Raw genomic sequence first — 20,439 nt, forward strand, 5'->3', positions numbered from 1 at the left:
GTTTTCTACTTTAAGAAGAATCATGTCAATATATGAGTCGAACATTGCAACTACTATAACTGAGCAAAACTTAAGAGACTTGTGAAAGGTAAAAATGTGTGCCCTAATATTTTTGCCCTATGTGAAAGAGTGATTGAACTTCATTGACTCTTGAGGGCAGACAAGAAATAATGAGATAAATTTATAGCAGTAGCTAATGTTGAGCTTAGCTACTTTTTTTTTTTTTTTCTCAGAATTGAGGCAACACTTCAGCTGCTGGGAATGATCTTCTGCAAGGACCTTCTGCTCCTTTGTAATCTTCCTAAGCTGAATACAGTCTCTTCACCCAAGAGTAAGTCCCCTCCCTGGGGATAGCTCAAGTCTAATGGTCAGTTGGTAAGGTAAGTAGAACCCTCCCATGTTCTTTTGCTCAAGGCAGGGCAACTTAAAAGGCCTATTTTAGCTCCAAATGTCCATAATAGAGGCCTCTTGCAACCACAGCTAAACTCCTGCCACTGCCCAGTCCTACTTCCTTCACTCCCCCAGACTTGTTGATGTAGGGGTTACCTTTCAGTAAACCTGTACACAAATCTCCATCTCAGAGTCTATTTCTGGGAATCTAGCTTAAGACATAGTAGATTTGAGTTCAGCATTAGGAGAAACTTTCTTACAAGTAGAATTGTCTCAATGGTATGAACTCCATCTAGAGATTGTGAGTTCTCCATTTTTGGATGTCGTCAAGCAGAAGCAAGTGACCATGACTTGAGGTTGGTGAAGAGAGAATTCTTATTTCATTAGGAGTTGGATTGAATGATTTTATGATTTTAAAAGCTTCAAAGGCTTTTAACTCTGATTCTATACTGTATTTATAAAATAATGCAGCCACTCTCTTTATAAAATCTATCTCTGTGATGTTTTATTCACCTAAGCCTAGGTTACTTATTAGAGAAAATAATTCTTTGTACATCTTGGGCCCATACTCAACTCCTGGAAAAGTATATAACCTATAGCCTGGCCTAAGATTCCCAAAACTAACAACAAGAGACTACAGAAAGAAGATTAATTAAATATACGAAGGCAAAACATTTGGTTTTCCTAATCTTTTGAGTTATATCCCAGGTTGTACAGGATCAACAACCTGAGAAGCCCATCAGACCTCTTGTGTTATCTCTAGACCATGTCGACTGTGTTAAGGCCACCTTTAATGCTGAACACTCTAGAGGAAAAATTTTTTTTTTTGGCTGCCCGGCATCCTTCCCTTTTCTCATGTATTGTGATGATAAACTTACAAGGTAGAGTTTGACTCTCACTGTTAAAATCCCAGATATTTGCTTCCTCAATCTCTTTTGTAGTAAAAGCATGAGAATTTGTTTCAGGTACCACCAACCAAATTCATCTAACCCAGACTATAATCCAGAAATTATTTCTGGATCTGTTTAAAATATGGATCATGGTAGCACCAGAAGTTGTGTGTAGTTTCCAGGGAGAGTAGTGTCATTGGTGTTAGCGGCTCTCTAGTATTAGTGGAGCTTAAATCACAAGCTACATCTAGTACTCGGAAATGATACAGAACCTTTTCTGGCTGAGTATCCTCTCAGCCTAATGCTCTACCTCTTGAGGGCATTCTGTGAGTTAACAAAAATATTTTTAAGAAACATATTTTTCTGCTTTAGCCACTCAGAGTGAATCTGGATTGGTTATAGGAGCTTGCTAGATTTGAAGACAGTGAAAATCTAGCTAGTGATATCAGATAAAACTCCGGGTGTTCATAGCACAGACTTAAAAAAATAACAAAAATAACACTGATGATAACCTGGAGAAAAAGTGCCTTTTAGAATCACAGGGACTACTGCCATGGAACTCTATGAAAAAGATAAATGATATAAGAATTGTGGGGTTTGGTGGTTGTTTCTAGTGATAATCCACACCCTAAAGAAAGGAATAGACAAGCTGGATATCTTAAAATCTAAATTCAAAACTTGGCCTGAAAATCATGGGCATCCTGTGATAGTGCTGTCAATGCTTAATAACAGGTATTCTCCCTCAACTTCAAATTCACTTCTCTGTTCTTTGCTTTGAGAGTTAGAGTTTAACACTCAGCAAACCACCTTTCTGCTTTGCCAGTTGGTTCCCAGGTAGGCTATGTTAGCAGTGAACACTTAAGAAAATGGGAAGGCTGGAGGAGAAAGAAGATACTTGTTTCTTTCTGTTTGTTTCTCATTTCTGTCAACATCACTCAGCCCCACTTTTTCATTCTTGCTATGGTTTGAATGTCTCCCCCAAAACTTCATGTGTTGGAAACTTAATAGCCAATGTAACCATATTAAGAGATAAGATAAGATGATTGATTCATGGATTAAGTTATTACCCTCGGAATTAAAGTTAGTTCCCCAGAAAGTGGATTGTTATAAAAGTGAGCTGGGCTTGCTCTTGCAGCCTCTTTTACATGCATTTGCTTGTCTTTCTGCTTTTTCACCATGTTATGACACAATATGAAAGTCCTACCCAGATGCTACTACCATGCCTTTGGACTTCTCAGTCTTCAAAATCATGAGCCAAATGAACTTTTATTTATAAATTACTCAGTCTCAGATATTCTGTTATAACAATAGAAAACAAACTAAGACAGAAAATTGGTACCAAAAATTGGGGTTGTTGCTATAACAGATACCTTAAAAGGTGGAAGCAGCTTTGGATCTGGGTAATGAGTAGGGGCTGGAAGGGATTGGAGGATCAGCCTAGAGAAAATCTGTATTGCTGTAAACAGAACATTAAGGGCAATTTTGGTGAGGAGTTAGAAGAAGACTAGACCAGTGTGCTCAGGATGCAGAAAAAGCAGTCAGAGGAAATTATTTTCCAGCTTTAAGACTAAACATTGTTTTGTCTGTTGGGTTTTGGACTTACTTGGCCTGCTACTCCTTTCTTCTTACCTATTTCTCCCTTTTGGAATGGGAATGCCTATCCTATGCCTGTCCCACCATAATATTTTAAAAGTAGGTATAATATTTTAAAAGTAGGTAACTTGTTTACATGTACAGGCTAACAGCTGGAAGGAATTTGCAAGGTGAATCATGCCTTGGGTTTCACCCATATCTGATTCAATGAGACTCTGGAATTTGGACTTTTGAGTTTTTTCTGGAAGAAGTTGAGACTTTTTGGGCTGTTGGAATGGAATGAATGTATTTTACATTGTGAGAAGGACATAAATTTGGGGAGCCAGAGGTAGAATGCTATGATTTAACGTGTCCCCCAAAAGATTATGTGTTGGAAACTTAATTGCCAATTTAACAGTATTAAGAGGTGAGCCCTTTAAAAGGTGATTGGGTCATGAGGGCAGAGCTTTCCTGGATGGATTTATGTCATTATCTTGGGTGTAATTTAGTTCTTGTGGGAGTAGTGAATTACTTCTTGTGAGAGTAAGTTAACTCTTGAGAGAGTTGGTTATTTTAAAAGCAAGTTCAGCTTGCTGTTTTAGTTTTCTTTGCAAGCGCTTTCTTGTGCTTTTGCTTTTGTGTATGTTATGAAAAAGTACAATACAAATGGTCTTACAATATGCTGCTGCCATGACCTTGGACTTGCCAGTCCCTAGAATCATAAGCCAAATAAACTTTTTAAAAGTACATGAGTCTCATGAATTCTGTTATAGCAAAGGACAAAGATAATTCCAGCAATTCTCATTTATTTCTGTATCAACAATTTAATCCAATTTGCAGATTTTCAACATCTGCAGAACTGACCTATTGTACTTTCTCATAAACACAGGAGGAGCCAGCCAAAATGCCTATGGAAAACAGTTCTATCAAAAAACTAATTCTCCTTAGCCTTACTCAAATCCATTTTGCTGTTTCCTGTTCTAGAACTAGAAACGGATTCCAGGTTAGAGTATATTCCAAGAAGGCACTTATATAAGCCAAGTTAGAAAGAGTAATATTTCCCCTCCCCAAGTTACAAGATTTGGCTAATTCAAAATACAGAAAAATGTAAAGAATACTTTGTGAATGAATTCTGCTGTGTTAGATCAAGGAAGTAGCAAACTTAAAAGTGAATACATTTATCAAAAATTTTGGATTCAATGTGTTTAGCTCAGGTATCTTCAAGGGGTTCCTACTATTTCATCAGTTGGATTTCCTAAAACATGGACACAATTGCCAATATAAAATAAATCTGAAATATAAAAAAGTAATCCTAATATGATATCAAAAGTCTTTCCTTTATTGATCACATTAATTAGCTGGTGGTGTCAGTCAAAGCTTCTGATCAAGGTAGGGACTCAGGTATCTGATATTATACATGCATAGCATAAGATCAGAAGTAATTTTTTAGATTTTCCAAAGATGATTTCCTTAATGAGGATTCTAGAGTTGATGGGAATGTTAATATGTCTAGCCTGAAGCAAAATTCAAGCTGCAATATGTTATAATAGCTACTGAAATAGAACTACCTCCCTTAGTGGGGACCTTAAATACTAGAGGCCCCACATAACAATTTGGGATTGCAGTTTTAACTTGCTGTTAACTGACCTGAATGCCCGTGTGAGACCCAGCAAAAGAAGGTTCTACAGGTGGTCCAGTGTGTAGGGCAAGCTCCTCTGCTGCTTGGCTTTTAGAATATAACTGATTCAAAAGTAGTCACAATGTTTGTGGCAGATCTGGGTGCTATATTGGGTCTTTCCACAGAATCACAGCAGTGATTGTAAATTGGGATAATGTCACAGCCATGCTATTTTTGCTCAACTATTTTTCGCTATTGCTATTACCCATATTAAAGACCAAAATATGCGACATATTATAGATCAACAGGCAACAAAGATATTCTCTATTTGCCCCACTAAATCCTTAAGTTAAACATTCCTAGACAGGTCCACCATGAAATGTGAGTGGTCTTTAGGAGATTAAGACCCTGTACATCCTAAGAATACAAGTAAATTGCAATACTAGGTGGTTTACACTACTAACGCATTTATATCTTACTTACATTGAAGCCTCAGGAGTTCCTTCTGATGAGTTGTCTGAGGAGAAACGTATTGAACCTTCATTTACACCCATGTCTATACAGTTTGGCACCAGGTCAGAAAGGGAGTAGAAAACCTTTTAAACCACACACAATGGTAGCCTTGAAGAATGGTGGGGAAGGAAAATTCCACCTTAGATGAGAACTTGGAATGGTTCTATTTTGTCTGAAAGGGGATTTGGCTCACGTTATGGGTCTACAATATTTTGTTTGCAGTTGTGAAAATAAAGAATGAAACATTTGTGTTACTTTTTTGTTGTTTTATATGTATGCATTTTTGTTCCTTATCTTTTATGTGAAATATGTTGGTGGTTGTGAAATTTGTATTTTGGCTCACATATCACAGCTTATTAATGAGAGGTTTTTGTATTCTTGGGTGAGGTCATGACATTACTGAGTGATCCCAAATTTGGAGATAGATGCAATTGCTGATTGGATTTTGGGAGGAGGGTAAGAGTATTTTTCAGCTGCATTATGTTAATTTTTTATGTTTAATTTTTATAGGTACACATTAGATGTATATATTTACTGGGTACATGAAATATTTTGATACAGACATACAATATGTAATAATTACATTAGGGTAAATGGAGTATCCACCACCTCAAGCATTTATAATTTGTTTGTTTTATGAACATTCCAATTATACTATTTTAATTATTTTTAAATATACAATCAATCAATCCAGTTTTTCTATCAAATACTAGGCCTTATTAATTCTATCTAATTATATTTTTGTAGCCATTAACCATTCCCACTGCCCCACACTAGCCTTGCCAGCCCTCTGGTAACCATTATTCTACTCTCTATCTCCATGAGGTTGATTGTTTTAATTTTTAGCTCCCACATGAGTGAGAACATGCTAAGTTTGTTTTTCTGTGTCTGGCTTATTTCACTTAACACAATGTCCTCCAGTTCCATCCATGTTGTTGCAAATGACAGGCTTTCATTCTTTTTTAAGTTTGGCTAATACTCCATTGTGTATACGTGTAATCAGTCAATGGATTTTTCCTGGGAAGTGTGGGAATCCTTGGTTTTTGTTTACCTTGGAAGAAATAATTCAGCTAAGAGATGTATAGCAAGGGTTAAGTAGCAGAGTTTATTGAAGGAGGATAAAGTACATCCTACAGAGGAGTAGAAAACAGCTCTGGGCTGGTTCAGCTGAAAAAATAGCAGCGTTTATTTAAGGAGACAGTACACTCTGAAAGATGAGACAGAGTGCACAGCTTGAGAGAATGAGCCAGGTGTAGCTAGTGCTGGGGGCTCTCTTTATGAGAAATTTACATTATTATTCACATAGGGGCATGAGGGAGTGTCACTTGAAAGCATGTTTAGGGAGATTCCTTTGGGAATGCATGTTCTGTGGTTGTGCATGCTAGTACACATATTGTATGTCTCATTAGCTTAAAATCTCCACCCAGGGGTGTGTTTTTTACTATTATAATGAGCAGAAGACTACTCTAGGATGAGGTTTTGGAGGATCACACATACTTGTTAGTGGGAAAAACCTCTAGCATGGTTACCTCCAGCTAGGACCTGAGAAGTCCCCTTCAGGGATAGAAGAACCTAACTGCAAGGCCAGATGTAGCTACTGTAACCATTGTCCTTTTTGCTGATTGTCAGTGGGCAGCATCTCCAGGACTTATTTTCCCAGAGGGCTCCCTTTCCTGCTCATTTTTGGCTACCTGCCTACTCTAACACCACCACATGGGAGATAAAGTTATTACTCAAATCAATCTCCCTGAAGGCTCAGAGGTTAGGGGTTTTTGAGAATAGTTAGGTGGGCAAAGGACTATGGAATGGGTGCTGCTAATTGGTTGGGGATGAAATCATAGGGATGTGGAAAGTAGTTATCCTGCATTGAGTCAGTCTCTGGGTAGGGAGTGGGTATTCACTATTAGGACACGAGTCACAAGTCCAGGTGGAATTAGACAGTCTTCAGAAATGCAAAAGTCTGAAAAGATATCCAAAAGGCAAATCTTAAGTTCCACAATAGTGATGTTATCTAACATTAGGCATCATTAGAGAAGGTACAAATCTTGTGCTTTCTGGAACAATGGCCGGTTGTCATTTGCTGACACCTAGATCTTAGCAAAATTCAGATCCCTCTCATAATCCTAACTTTGTGACCTTTCATTAGCTCTTTTTTCTTTTTCTTTCTTTTTTTTTTTTTTTTTTTTTTGTCTGAGACAGAGTTTCACTCTTGTCCAGGCTGGAGGGCAATGGCATGATTTCAGCTCACTGCAACCTCTTCCTCCTGGAGTCAAGTGATTCTCCTGCCTCAGCTTCCTGAGTAGTTGGGATCACAGGTGCCTGCTACCACGTCTAGATAATTTTTGTATTTTTAGTAGAGACGGGGTTTCATCATGTTGGCCAGGCTGGTCTCAAACTGCTGACTTCAGGTAATCTGCCCACCTTGGCCTCCCAAAGTGCTGGGATTACAGGTGTGAGCCAACGTGCCTGGCTGGCCTTTCATTAATTTTACAAAGAAGTTTAGTTTTGGGGAGGGCTATTAGCATCCTTGCTTTAAGGTTAGACTATAAACTAAATTTCTCCCAGATTCAGCTTGACCTATGCCCAGGAATGACCAAGGAGAGCTTGGAGGTTAGAAGCAAGATGGAGTAATCTATGTCAGATTTCTCTTACTGTCATAATTTTGTAAAGGCAGTTTCATATGTGCAACATTTTCTTTGTTCATTTTTCTGTTGATAGACTCTTAGGTTGCTTCTTGGCTGTTGTGAATGGTGCTGCAATAAATATGGGAGCGCAGATATCTCTTCAGTATACTGATTTTCTTTCTTTTGGGTATATACTTAGCAGTAGGATTGCTACATCATATGGTAGTTCTATTTCAGTTTTTGAGGAACCTTCACACTGTTCTCCATAGTGGCTATGCTAATTTACATTACCACCAACAATATACAAGGGTTTCCTTTTCGCCACATACTCACCAGCATTTGCTATTGCCTGTATTTTGGATAAAAGCCATTTTAACTTGGGTGAGATGGTATCTCATTGTAGTTTTGATTTGCATTCCTCTGATGGTTAATAATGTTGAGCACCTTTTAATATGCCTGTTTGCCATCTACATGTCTTGTTTTGAGAAATGTCTATTCAGATCTTTTGCCTATTTTTTGATTGGATTATATTTTTTCCTGATGAGTTGTTGGAGCTCCTTATATTATTTTGGTTATTAATCCTTTGTCAGATGGATAGTTTACAAGTGTTTTCTCCCATTCCGTGGATTATCTTTTCACTTTGTTGATTATTATTATTATTATCATTTTGCTGTGCAGAAGCTTTTTAACTTGGTATGGCTGTATTTGTCCACTGTTGCTCTGGCTGTCTGTGCTTGTGGGGTATTACTGAAGAAATCTTTGCCCAGTCCAATGTCCTGTAGAGTTCCCCAATGTTTTATTTTAGTAGTTTCATAGTTCAAAGTCTTAAATATTTAAGTCTTAAATATTTAATTTAATAATTAAATATTTAATCCATTTTGATTTGATTTTTGTATATGGCAAGAGATAGCGGTCTAAATTCATTCTTCTGCATATAGATATCTAGTTTTCCCAGCAGCATTTATTGAAGATACTGTCCCTTCCCCAGTGTATGTTCTTGGCACCTTTGTCAAGTGTTCACTTGACATGAGTGAACTTGAATGAGCTCACTGCAGATGTATGGATTTCACTCTATTCCATTCCATTGGTTTATGTGTCTGTTTTTATGCCAATACAATGCTGCTTTGTTTACTATAGCTGTGTAGTATAATTTGAAGTCAGGTAACATTATGTCAGAAAGTTAAATCAAGCTAGGTGGAAATGTTTTTAAGTCTAAAGATGAAAAAAAATGGAGTACTAGGAAATCAAAATTGTGAAAATTGAGAAATTCATCAGTTTTTGTTTGTTTGTTTTTTCAGCTCTAACCTTTATTTGGGGCTATTCTCACCTTTAAACATGCAGTCTACTTTCTTCCATATAGCTGACATACCAAATGTCTACTTTCTCAATCCAGCTTGAAATTATGCTGATCCAGGCAGGTAATCAAGTTTCTAATAATCAGATCCACTTACATAGATTCTATCTGGGGAGATATTGAGGAGATAAAATAAATTCCTTGAAGAATTCATTTTGGGTAGAGAGTGATGGCAGAGCTTGCAGCTATATTGAATTAGATAAGCAATAGTGACAGTGCCCATCACAGGACCCTGTGTCTACATGGTAGAATGTGAGGTGCAGCTTGAAGTTTCTGATCACTAGTGGTCCTGATGATCATATCTTTAGTGGACAACCTCCAAAATGAGGGAGGGCTAAGGCAACTGTTTTGCCCATGTAAACTTCACACTTGTTTATCTGGCCCTCCAAATAAATTTATCCTACATATATACAGCTTATATTTCCCAGAGTTTGTTTCAGTTGTTTTCAACTTAGATCCCTGATGAGTATTTCACCGAATATTTGGAACATATCTATAGGCATAATCTGGAGGTCATTCATTAGCTTATGTTATGATGAGTGAGGCAGGTCATGTGAAAACTCTAACTCACTGCTGTCAGATGAATCCAGGAAAACATACTAAGGCATATTCTCTCTTCTTCTTGTCTGACTCCTCTCCAGAACTAGTAATTCTATAAGGATGCACAGGTCTTTCATCTGAATAAGTACCTTCCATGTGCCAGTAAGGGAGATCAACACTGCTGTCACCTTCTTAGGGATGAATCCCTGATTCTCCATCTCTCTAACTAGAAGATATCCTTTTGGTACATGTTTCCTTGAAAACTACATTTTTCTTTCCTAATTATAATTATACTTGTAGCTGATTTTTTAGAAATTATGTCTTTATCCACTAGAATTTACAACACATGAGGACAGGGATCTTATCTGTGGTGTCTTTAATGTCTAAAACAAAGCCATGCACAAAGTAGGTATAAAATAAATAGCTGTTGAGTGAATGAATAAAATGAATGCCTATTTGAGTTAATGCAGCTCTGTTAAATGAAAACATATCAGAAAGGATGAGGATAAGACTAGTGATGGGGTGAGTCCAAAAATAAATGATTTTAAAAATACCAGGAAAAAATAGAAGTGTATAAAAAATATTCTCAAAAGTACCAGATGTTATGGGGGTTGATGTTATGGACTCTAAATTCTCAATTCCAGCATCTGTCTGCTCTTGAAATAACTTCTAGTCTAGTTCTGTGTAGATAGTAAAAGTAGTTGCACTGGCTTTTGCAAGAAATTGTTTTTATATCCAATTCTTAAAATAAAAAAGATAGAGTAGATATAAGCAGAAAGAGATGTGGTTGGTTATGAAATAGACATGTTATCGTGTAATTAATTCTGTGGATGGACTGCATATAAGAAATGTAATTGCAATGAGATACACAGAGTGATATTACTTATTTCTTGCTCAGTATTGCCTTTGAAGATATGTAGAGTTGCTAACAAATGACTGACTCTGGACCTGAACAATGAAAGCCAGAGAATGAATGACATATCCGAGCAAGTCATGCTGATCAGGTACAGTTATTTGGTTTTCTTTTGATCACTCTATTGTGCAATTAATGGATAGGGCTCCTAAAGCATGGAACATAGAAACAGGAAATATTTTCCTTGTTTCCTAGCTTTACGTCTTTTCTCCGTTTTCAGAAAACTGAAGATAAAACAAAATAAAATGCGCCATGCTGATTTTATAACTTAGTTAAAGCAGTCGAATTGATTTTCAGAAAAAAATTATTTTATTCCACAATACACTGTTGTTTGGCAAATGACTAAAGTTTTCACATTTCTCAGATAATCATTAAAATTGGGGCTGTAGCTGTCATATGATCACCATATACTGGAAGAAATAAACCCAGGAATTGTGATGGGAACAATAAGATCCAGGAATATTCTTCTACCCCTTCATCCAGGGTGCTGTCTGGGGATACTTACTCAAATCTAAGATGGATCTCTAATAACACTTCCTATGCATCCAGCTGTATGAGATATTTTAAAGCTGTGAAAATTATATCTGCCACCCTACCCACTCAACCACCCCAATATCATTACAAAGTGCTCAAGACTGACCTGGCATGACACTCTCCCAGTTGTTAGATCTCTTTGTCACGTATCTGCATTCAGTGACATACTTGAAATACCAAATTTCCTTATACAGACAAATGAAGAAAAATTCACTGATGTTTAAGATGTCACTAGGCAAATATCATTCATATATTTTCCAAATTAGAGAAGATAAAATAACATTTTTATTTTTCAGAACAAGGTTTTAAATTACTTCTGTAGTTGTTTTTAGTTATAAGACAAGCAAAAGACCCTACGCTTTTTGCTTGAACGGGTTGACTCTGTGAGGAGGACTTGACAGTGCCCTTTTTCAAGAGGCAATGTTTGCAGTACTATTTATGGAGATGAAATCATACTTGCTAATTTCTATTTGAAGACATTCTTGAATTGCAAGTGCAGAGAAATGGATGCTTAGTTCTGTGTTTCTCAAGGATAGGTTATACTTGTAGGGGCCTAGGGAAAAACTCCCTTCACCCTCTGAAGGCTTAGTGAAAAATCAACTCACAGAAGGCAGGTTAATTGGAGAAAAGGCAAACAAATCTGTTCATGGAAAAAAAAAAAAAGGAAGCTGAACCCTGTGAAATATTTGAAAGAGGCTATTAATTAATTAGTTAATTTATTTATTTATTTTGAGATGGAGTCTTGTTCTATCACCCAGGCTGAAGTGCAGAGGCATGATCCTGGCCCACTGCAGCCTCTGCCTCCTGGGTTCAAGTGATTCTCATGCCTCAGCCTCCTGAGTAGCTGGGATTACAGGCATGTACCACCACACCTAATTTTTTTTTTTTTTTTTTTTTTTTTTAGTCTTGCTCTGTCACCCAGGCTGGAGTGCAGTGGCGCAATCTTGGCTCACTGTAACCTCTGCCTCCCGGGTTCAGCTGATTCTCCTGCCTTAGCCTCCCAAGTAGATGGGGTTACAGGCACCCACCACAATGCCCAGCTAGTTTTTGTATTTTTAGTAGAGATGGGGTTTCACCACATTGGCCAGGTTGGTCTCAAACTCCTGACCTCAAGTGATGTCCCCCCCGCCTTGGCCTCCAAAGTGCTGAGATTACAGGCATGAGCCACTGCACCCAGCCAGAAGAGTTTTATTCTGAGCTAAATATGAGTAACTATGGCCAGAGGCATAGTCTCAAGAAGTCCTGAGAACATGTGCCCAAGGTGGTTGGGTTACCGCTTGATGTTTTTACATTTGAGGAAGACTTAAGACATAAATCAATATGTGTGAAGTTTACATTGGCTCAGTCTGGAAAGGTGGGACAACTCAAAGTGGTTGCATAAAGGTCATAGATGCATTCAAAGATTTTCTGATTGGCAGTTGATTGAAAGAGTTTAATTATTATCTAAAGAATAATTATGATCTAAAGAATCAATAAAGAGGATTGGATGGGTTAAGATAAGGGGTGTGGAGCTGAAGATTCTTATTATGTAGATGAAGTCTCATAGCTGGCTGCCCTTACAGACAACAGATGGCAAATGTTTCCTATTCCGGCCTTTAAAAAGTGTTAGACTCTCAATTAATCTATTTAGGATTGGGAGGGCCTGGAAAGATCTAGTTATGTTAATAGAGATTCTTTACAGATGCAAATTTTCTCCTAAAAAAGGCAGCATTGCAGGACCATTTCAAAAAATGGCAAAGAAACTCATATTTGAGGGTAAAATATTTTGCTTTCCTTCTTTATATGTCATGTGATGATATACTAGAGTCAGGTTCGAATTTGGTATCTTACTACTACAAAGAACGTATTTTGTTTTAATGTTAATGCTGATCAGTTGTGCCTGAACTCTGAAGGGAGGAGGGTATGAGGCATATCTTATCCCCCCTTCCCATCATGACCTCAAATAGTGTTTCAGGTTTCTTTGGGTTCCCTTGGCCGAAATGGGTGTCCATTCAGTCAGTTGGATGGCTTAGGAATTTTAATTTTGGTCTATAAACCTATTAACATACACATGGCAAAGAACCACAGAATGATTACCCTTTTCCCCACTGGAGTTAAGAAGCTCATATACCATGTTGAGTTTACAGAAAGAATGGAGGCTTGGATCCTCACAAAAGAGGTTATGGTTGGAAACATTTTATGGGAAGGGGGAGAAGAAGAATTCTGTTGAGGGCAATAAATGATTACTAGGGAGAATGAATGGATAGGGAACAGAGAGTGACTTGTAAATATTGCTCATGGAATTTGAATGATCCTCATAGACAAAAATTATCTTATGAAGGAATCTGTTCAGGTGTGGTTACATTCTTGATGTTCTTTTCTGCAATAGGTAATAAAACAAGAGAGAGCAAAAGAAAAACAGTTGTTCTGTTTGTTAGGTCTGGACTTTAGGGAGATAAAGGAAATTTAGAGACGAACTTCCTCCTGTGCTTCAGGACAGACAGAGGATTGAGGGACAATAGTTGGGAGAGCGGGTAGTGAGATCAGAGAGATTATGAGCCTCCTTCTTTAGTTCAGCATGTTAAAATGCCATATTTTGCGGTATCAGTCTCTTATTCCCAACATAGGTTATCTTATTTTAGTTTCTGAAATTGAGATATTTTTAATCAGTATATACATCAAATGTGGTAGAAATAGTTTTTCTCTAAAAAAAGCTTATTAAATTGATAGTGTATTTTATAATCCAAAGTGTTTTAGAATCAAGGAAATAGAGTATGTAGAGAGCAGTCAAAGATACTCGTCAAGTAATTGAATTATTAACCTTACAGGTGCTTTTATCAATTTAACCATTTTTATTTCTATGTTAAAGACCAATAATAATGTGGAAAGTAGGCAGGAAGAGTCAGGAAATTTCTGATAATTTCACTTTCTGTCCTGCTTGTGGATGAATCTGGTGGGAAACCAGCTGGGCATTAAAGTTTATACCATTTGTCAAAAACCATCCTGCCTCTCCCCACTCATTTCCTAACACACCCCTCCCTCCAGTCCCAAATACATCCTCATTCAATCCTAATTTTATTTCAGACCTTCTTATGATCTGGCTCTTTTTCATGTTGTCTAAACTAATGACTTTGTGATATTAGTCTTGAACAAATACCTCTGACTTCTTAAATTACTAGTGTATTTGCTGTCCCCGATATCTGGACATCAACTTTTCCAAAGTACTACCAATGTGGCATATTAGAAAACTTTTAGAATCTGCAACTGTGCTGGGTAAAAATGGCTTACAATGCAATATTTGCCTTTTTTTCATTAAGGCAAGGCTAATCCTTCTTGGATTTAGGCTGATGTCAGCATGTATTTAAATAAGTTTAATAGTAACAACTGTTGAAAGCCCCTAAGTTTATTACCTTACTAGGATTTCAAATGCTTTCAGCTGAATATATACTCTCTCTCTCTGCACCCGCAACAAGCAAAAGGTTGAAAAAAAAACTTCATTCAGGAACCTGATCAGTCTTCTAAAAAAGACTTGAGGAACTAGTGATTAAGGATTTCTCAATGAGATGGACTGACCAGGTTCTGTTAGAATGAAGTTTATAGGTATAACTGGAGCCAATTGGAAATTTAAAAGGAAAGAATAGCCAATGATTACTGGCTAGCTAAGGAAAACATCTAACATAAAAATCAGAGACCTAGACAAACAAAAAGGAAAAAAAATAGCTGATGGAAAAAGTGATTTCCACAAACTGCATGTTTGTACTCCCCTAAAATTTATATATTGAAACCTAACCCTCAATGTGATTGATGGTGTTTGGAGGAAGGGCCTTTGGGAAGTCAGTAGTGTCTTTTTAAAAGAAGCTCCAGGGAGATCCCTCACCTCTTCTTCCATTTGAGCATATAGCCAGAAGATTGCCATCTATGAACCAGGAATTAGGTTTTTACCAGGCATTGTGTATGCGGGTAGCTTGATCTTGTATTTCTCAGCCTCCAAAACTGTGGGAAACAAATTTCTATTGTTTATAAGCCACCCAGTTTATGATATTTATGATATTCTATTATAGCAGTCCACATGGACTAAGACACACATTGGTGCTAGGAAGTGAGGGTGCTGTTAAACAGTTAAAAATGTTGAAGCAGATTTAGAATAAAGTAATGGATAGAGGCTGAAAAGTTGTAAAGTGCATGTTAGAAAAAGCCTGTTTTGCTGTGAATGGACCATTAAGGGATATTCAGGTGAAAGCTTGGGAGGAGAGGAGGTGAGCTGTGGACAATGCCTCAGTCTTCTTAGATAATACCTAAGTGATTCTGAACAGAATATTAGTAAAAACATAGACAGCAGAGGTCATTCTAATGAGCTCTAAAAATGGAAATCAGGAATATGTTATCAGACAATGGAGGAAAGACAATCTTAGTTATAAAGTGGCAAAGACTGGTTAAGTCGTGTTCATGTTCTATTGCTTTGTGAAAGATAAAATGTATAATCAATAACCCTGGATATTTGTCTGAGGAAGTAAGTAAGCAAATTGTTGAAATAGTAGCCTGGTTCCTTTTGATTGCTTATACTAAAACTTGAAAAGAGGAGAGTGAGGCCGGGTGCGGTGGCTCACACCTGTAATCCCAGTACTTTGGGAGGCTGAGGCAGGTGGATCACGAGGTCAGGAGTTTGAGACCAGCCTGGTCAACATAGTGAAACCCCGCCTCTACTAAAAATACAAAAAAAAAATTAGCTGGGCATGGTGGCAGGCACCTGTAATCCCAGCTACTTGGGAGGCTGAGGCAGGAGAATCGCTTGAACCTGGGAGGCAGAGGTTGAAATGAACCCAGATCACACCACTGCACTCCAGCCCGGGCGACAGTGCAAGACTCCGTCTCAAAAAAAAAAAAAAAAAAAAAAAGTAGAAAAACTGAAAAGAAATTATTAATCAGAAAGAAGAATTTAAAGATTCAGAAAACTTTCACACTATCCATATTGAAATAAATGAGAAAAACCTGCTTAGGAAAACACAAAGCTGTGCCCAAATGACTGTTTGATAAGGAGATTAGTCAGCCATCTAAGACAGCCTCTTATGCACTTTTCCCAGGATGCAAATGGGGAATGTTCCTCATCAAAATTTGAAATAACTCAGATGGAGGGACTCATGCAATTCAGGAAATGGAATTCAACACTAGAAAAGGGTGTGATGACCTGTTTCTACCCGAGGTGAAAAGTGATTAGCCTGCTTGCAGAGAAGGTTAGCCAGAGTGGAACAAGTCAGGTAGCACCATGAGGGATTTCATCAAAAGATACGGAACTGATTAAGAGATAATTAATTTGATAACACTAAGAGGAGTTTTATAATACTGAGGGGGCATTAGTATAGAATTGCTACTAAGAACATGAAAAATAAAACCAATATGTAAAACTAGAAAATGATTATCTCTAAGGAAAACAAAATGTGGGGGAAAGAAAAAGCAATCGCAATGTAATGCATTACTAAAGTTCACCCTAGAAAAACATGGGGGTTAGTGGCACTTAGCCCTGCAAAGTCAAAAATCCACATATAACTTTTGACTTCCCCCAAACTTGACTACTAAAAATAGCCTACTATTTATCAGAAGCCTTACTGTTAACATACATAGTCAATTAACACATATTTTGTAGGTTATCTGTACTACATACTGTATTCTTACAATAAAGTAAGCTAGAGAAAAGAAAATGGCATTAGGAAAATCATAAGAAAGAGAAAACATATTTACTATTTATTAGGTGGAAATAGATCATCATCTTCACATTGAGCAGGCTGAGGAGGAGGTAAAGGAGGAATTGTTCTTGCTGTCTCAGGGGTGGTATAGGCAGAAGAATATCCATGTATAGACCTGCTCAGTTTAAATCTGTGTTACTCAGGCTCAGCTGTATATGGTTTAGTTGTAACTAGCATTGACAAAGCCATAACAATGTGAACACTAAATATTGATCTAACCAAATTTAAGACATAAATGCATCAGATAATTCAAATGTGTCCATAAAATTATTGGGGCAAGAAGGTGAAAGAGAGCTAGATTGTCATCTACCAAAATGACAGGTCAAAATATCAGAGCTAACTTATGATGGGGGTGGAGGGTCAATATACTCATGCTATTTATAAATGCTATTCATAAAAAATTAAATAATTTACTAGAGAAATTTAAAAGTGGTTACCTCTATGAAATATCAAATGGAGAGAGCTGTGAAATGTCTTCATTTTCTTTTCTCTGTTTTAACAAGCTTTGTAGAACACTTAATCTCTAAACTAACTACAGATACCATACTATATAAGGTGTATTAGTCCTTTCTCACACTGCTATAAAGATATGAGCCAAGACTGAGTAAATAATAAAGAAAAGAGATTTAATTGATTCACCGTTCTGCATGACTGGAGAGGCCTCAGGAAACTTACAATCATGGCAGAAGGGGAAGAGGAAGCAAGGACCTTCTTCACATGGTGGAAGGAGAGAGAAGTGCAAGCAGGGGAAATGACAGGTGCTTATAAAACCATCAGCTCCCATGAGCGCTCACTCCGTATCACAAGACAGAGTAGGGGAAACTGCCCCCATGATCCAATTACCTCCCACCTGGTCCCTCCCTTGACACATGTGGATTACAGGGATTACAATTTAAGACATGATTTGGGTGGGGACATAGTCAAACTATATTATATGGCATAGTATAATAGTTGAAAGTATATTTGAAAGCCCATATATAGGTGTATACACACACACACACACACACACACACACACAATGTATAATGGTAAATATAAAATTAAATTAAACAGTAATTAAGTCTATAATAAAATTTTAATAACATATATATTTACCTTTTTGTTGTTGCTGTTAGGGTCCTCTCTACCCATCCTATTTTTATTTAATAATCATAGTTTTACACTCTGCTTTGAATTTGTGCAGTTAGGCTAACTTTTACTTAAATGTGACAGAACAATCCAAAGTCATCATTACTTAATAAAACATAGACTTTACATTTTTATGTAAGCCAAATTCAGACACCAAAGTAAGTGTCTTTATAGTGTTAGAGATTCAGGCTTCTATTATCTAGCCACTAGGCCACACTTAGCCTATGACTCCATGGCCCAGAGCTGTGAGAGTCCCAGCCATCACTTTGGTAGTCAGCCACCATGAAAGAAGAAAGAAAAAAAAAAAAGTAGCAAAGGATTTGTGCCAGCTTATTTTTATGTTTTTCACAAAAGTAACACACATTTGCTTAAGTTGCATTGCCTAGAACTTATTCACATGGTCTCACCAAGCTGGAAGGAAGGCTAACAAATGGGTTTTGTTTGCTTATTACACACTGTGCTGAATAAAACTTGGGTTATTTTACTAAAGAAAAATAATGGATAAGGATTTAGGTAACAAGCAGTCTCTGTCACACACTATATTTGCCCTTTTGAGTTATTTTGATCCTGTCGCCTGTAAATTCAATATTTTGTATGTTTTTTGTATAAAAGTGGTAAACCCAACTTTAACATAATTAAGGGTGACACTGATATTTTATTCTTCAAAATCCTGAAGCCCAAACATTGAATCATCAGTGTGTGATGAAAGTTGTATTTTATTTAGCAGATTTTTCCTGGCCTCCCATGAGACAAGGGTAAAATAGCAAATTTATTTTCTAGTTGCTATAGTGCCTTTCAAACAGGTTGAGAAAGTAAGTTCTCACAGAATAAGCCAGTAATAAGTTACTGGCACTGTTCTTCTACTTGACTTAACAAACTTCCGATTAAATGAAACTGTACTCCAATACAATATCATACTAATTTTATTTCATATAATAAGACATAATGCTCCCCTCCCATCCCCCAGTTTACTCACAATAAATTCTGCTGTTCCAGAAAGGAACTAGTGGTCAAAATATATCTCACAAACACCATTTAAGTATATTAACTCATCCCCAAATTATTTCCTTAAATGAATATATTTATATTATTTGAGCAGTGGTTCTGTTGCATATAACTTGATACATGTTTCCTCATTTTTAAATATAGATAAAGATTTTATTTCAGGAAGGCAGGTTATGTGAACTGATAGCAATACTGATCATTGTGGTTTAAGAGTTCAAGGTTATTGAAAATTCCAATGAAATGGAGTATGAGAAGAAGCAACCACAACAATTTTTGTTTAAATTGTAGTAAAATACACACAACATGAAATTTTCCATCTTAACCATTTTCAAAGGTGTAGAGTTCCATAGTGTTAAGTATATTCACATTATTTTGTAACCAATCTCTGGAATGTTTTCATCTTGCAAAAATAAAACTATACCTATTAAACAACTATACCTATTAAGCAACTGCTCCCTTTTCCCCACCCCAGGCCTGGCAACCACCATTCTACTTTCTATCCATCTGATTAGTCTAGCACAGTGTCCTCCAGGTTCATCCATTGTTTTCACTGTTAGAATTGGGGCTTTCTTATGACTTTTCTGGTTTTGTTTTTGCCCACATACTTTATCTGAGAAAATAATTTTATACTTAAATTAAGTTTCTGGTAGTGGCTATTCTCAGCAATTATTTATGGTGACACTCTATTTGGTAAGCTCAGTATAGTATAGTTTTCCTATTTCTCTCTCTGTCTTTTTTCTTATTTACGGTATTTGTTTGCAATGATAAAATGGCTTTTCTAAGAAACAAACATTCCATTTAAGGCACTATCACCTCAAATCCTCTTTTAGCTAGACAATGAAAGAAATTGGGATAAAAATACATTTCAAAAGTAAAATTAAATATAGTCCCTTTATTCCATGGTGCATATGTGCCACATTTTCTTTATCCAGTCTAACATTGATGGGCATTTGGGTTGGTTCCAAGTCTTTGCTATTGTGAATAGTGCTGCAATAAACAAACATGTGCATGTGTCTTTATAGTAGAATGATTTATAATCCTTTGGGTATATACTTAATAATGGGATGACTGGGTCAAGTGGTATTTCTAGTTCTAGATCCTTGAGGAATTGCCCCACTGTCTTCCACAATGGTTGAACTAATTTACACTCCCACCAACAGTGTAAAAGTGTTCCTATTTCTCCACATCCTCTCCAGCATCTGTTGTTTCTTGACTTTTTAATGATCGCCATTCTAACTGGTATGAGATGGTATCTCATTGTGGTTTTGATTTGCATTTCTCTAACGACCAGTGATGATGAGCTTTTTTTTCATGTTTGTTGGCCACATAAATGTCTTTGGAATACTAAGCAGCCATAAAAAGAATGAGTTCATGTCCTTTGCAGGGACATAGATGAAGCTGGAAATCATCATTCTCAGCAAACTAACACAGGAGCAGAAAACCAAACACCGCATGTTCTCACTCATAGGTGGGAGTTGAACAATGAGAACATATGGGCACAGGGAGGGGAATATCACACACCAGGGCCTGTCAGAGGTAGGGGTCAAGGGGAGGGATAACATTAGGAGAAATACCTAATGTAGATGACAGGTTGGTGGGTGCAGCAAACCGCCATGGCACATGTATACCTATGTAACA

At 37.0% G+C, this 20,439-nt stretch overlaps 1 long non-coding RNA gene across 1 annotated transcript in view; it reads left to right on the top strand.

Annotated features, from left to right (window-relative positions):
* The first annotated feature begins 9,616 nt into the window (after window positions 1–9,616).
* The window catches only part of LOC107984239 (uncharacterized), a 44,561-nt gene continuing 33,738 nt past the window's right edge, over window positions 9,617–20,439 (top strand). Inside the window, exons 1-2 of the long non-coding RNA XR_001747475.2 lie at window positions 9,617–9,745; window positions 10,400–10,505. This is a non-coding gene — a long non-coding RNA (uncharacterized LOC107984239). The remainder of the gene's footprint in view (window positions 9,746–10,399; window positions 10,506–20,439) is intronic.

This window comes from Homo sapiens, chromosome 10 (genome assembly GCF_000001405.40).
Source record: "Homo sapiens chromosome 10, GRCh38.p14 Primary Assembly".
Classification (NCBI taxonomy): domain Eukaryota; kingdom Metazoa; phylum Chordata; class Mammalia; order Primates; family Hominidae; genus Homo; species Homo sapiens.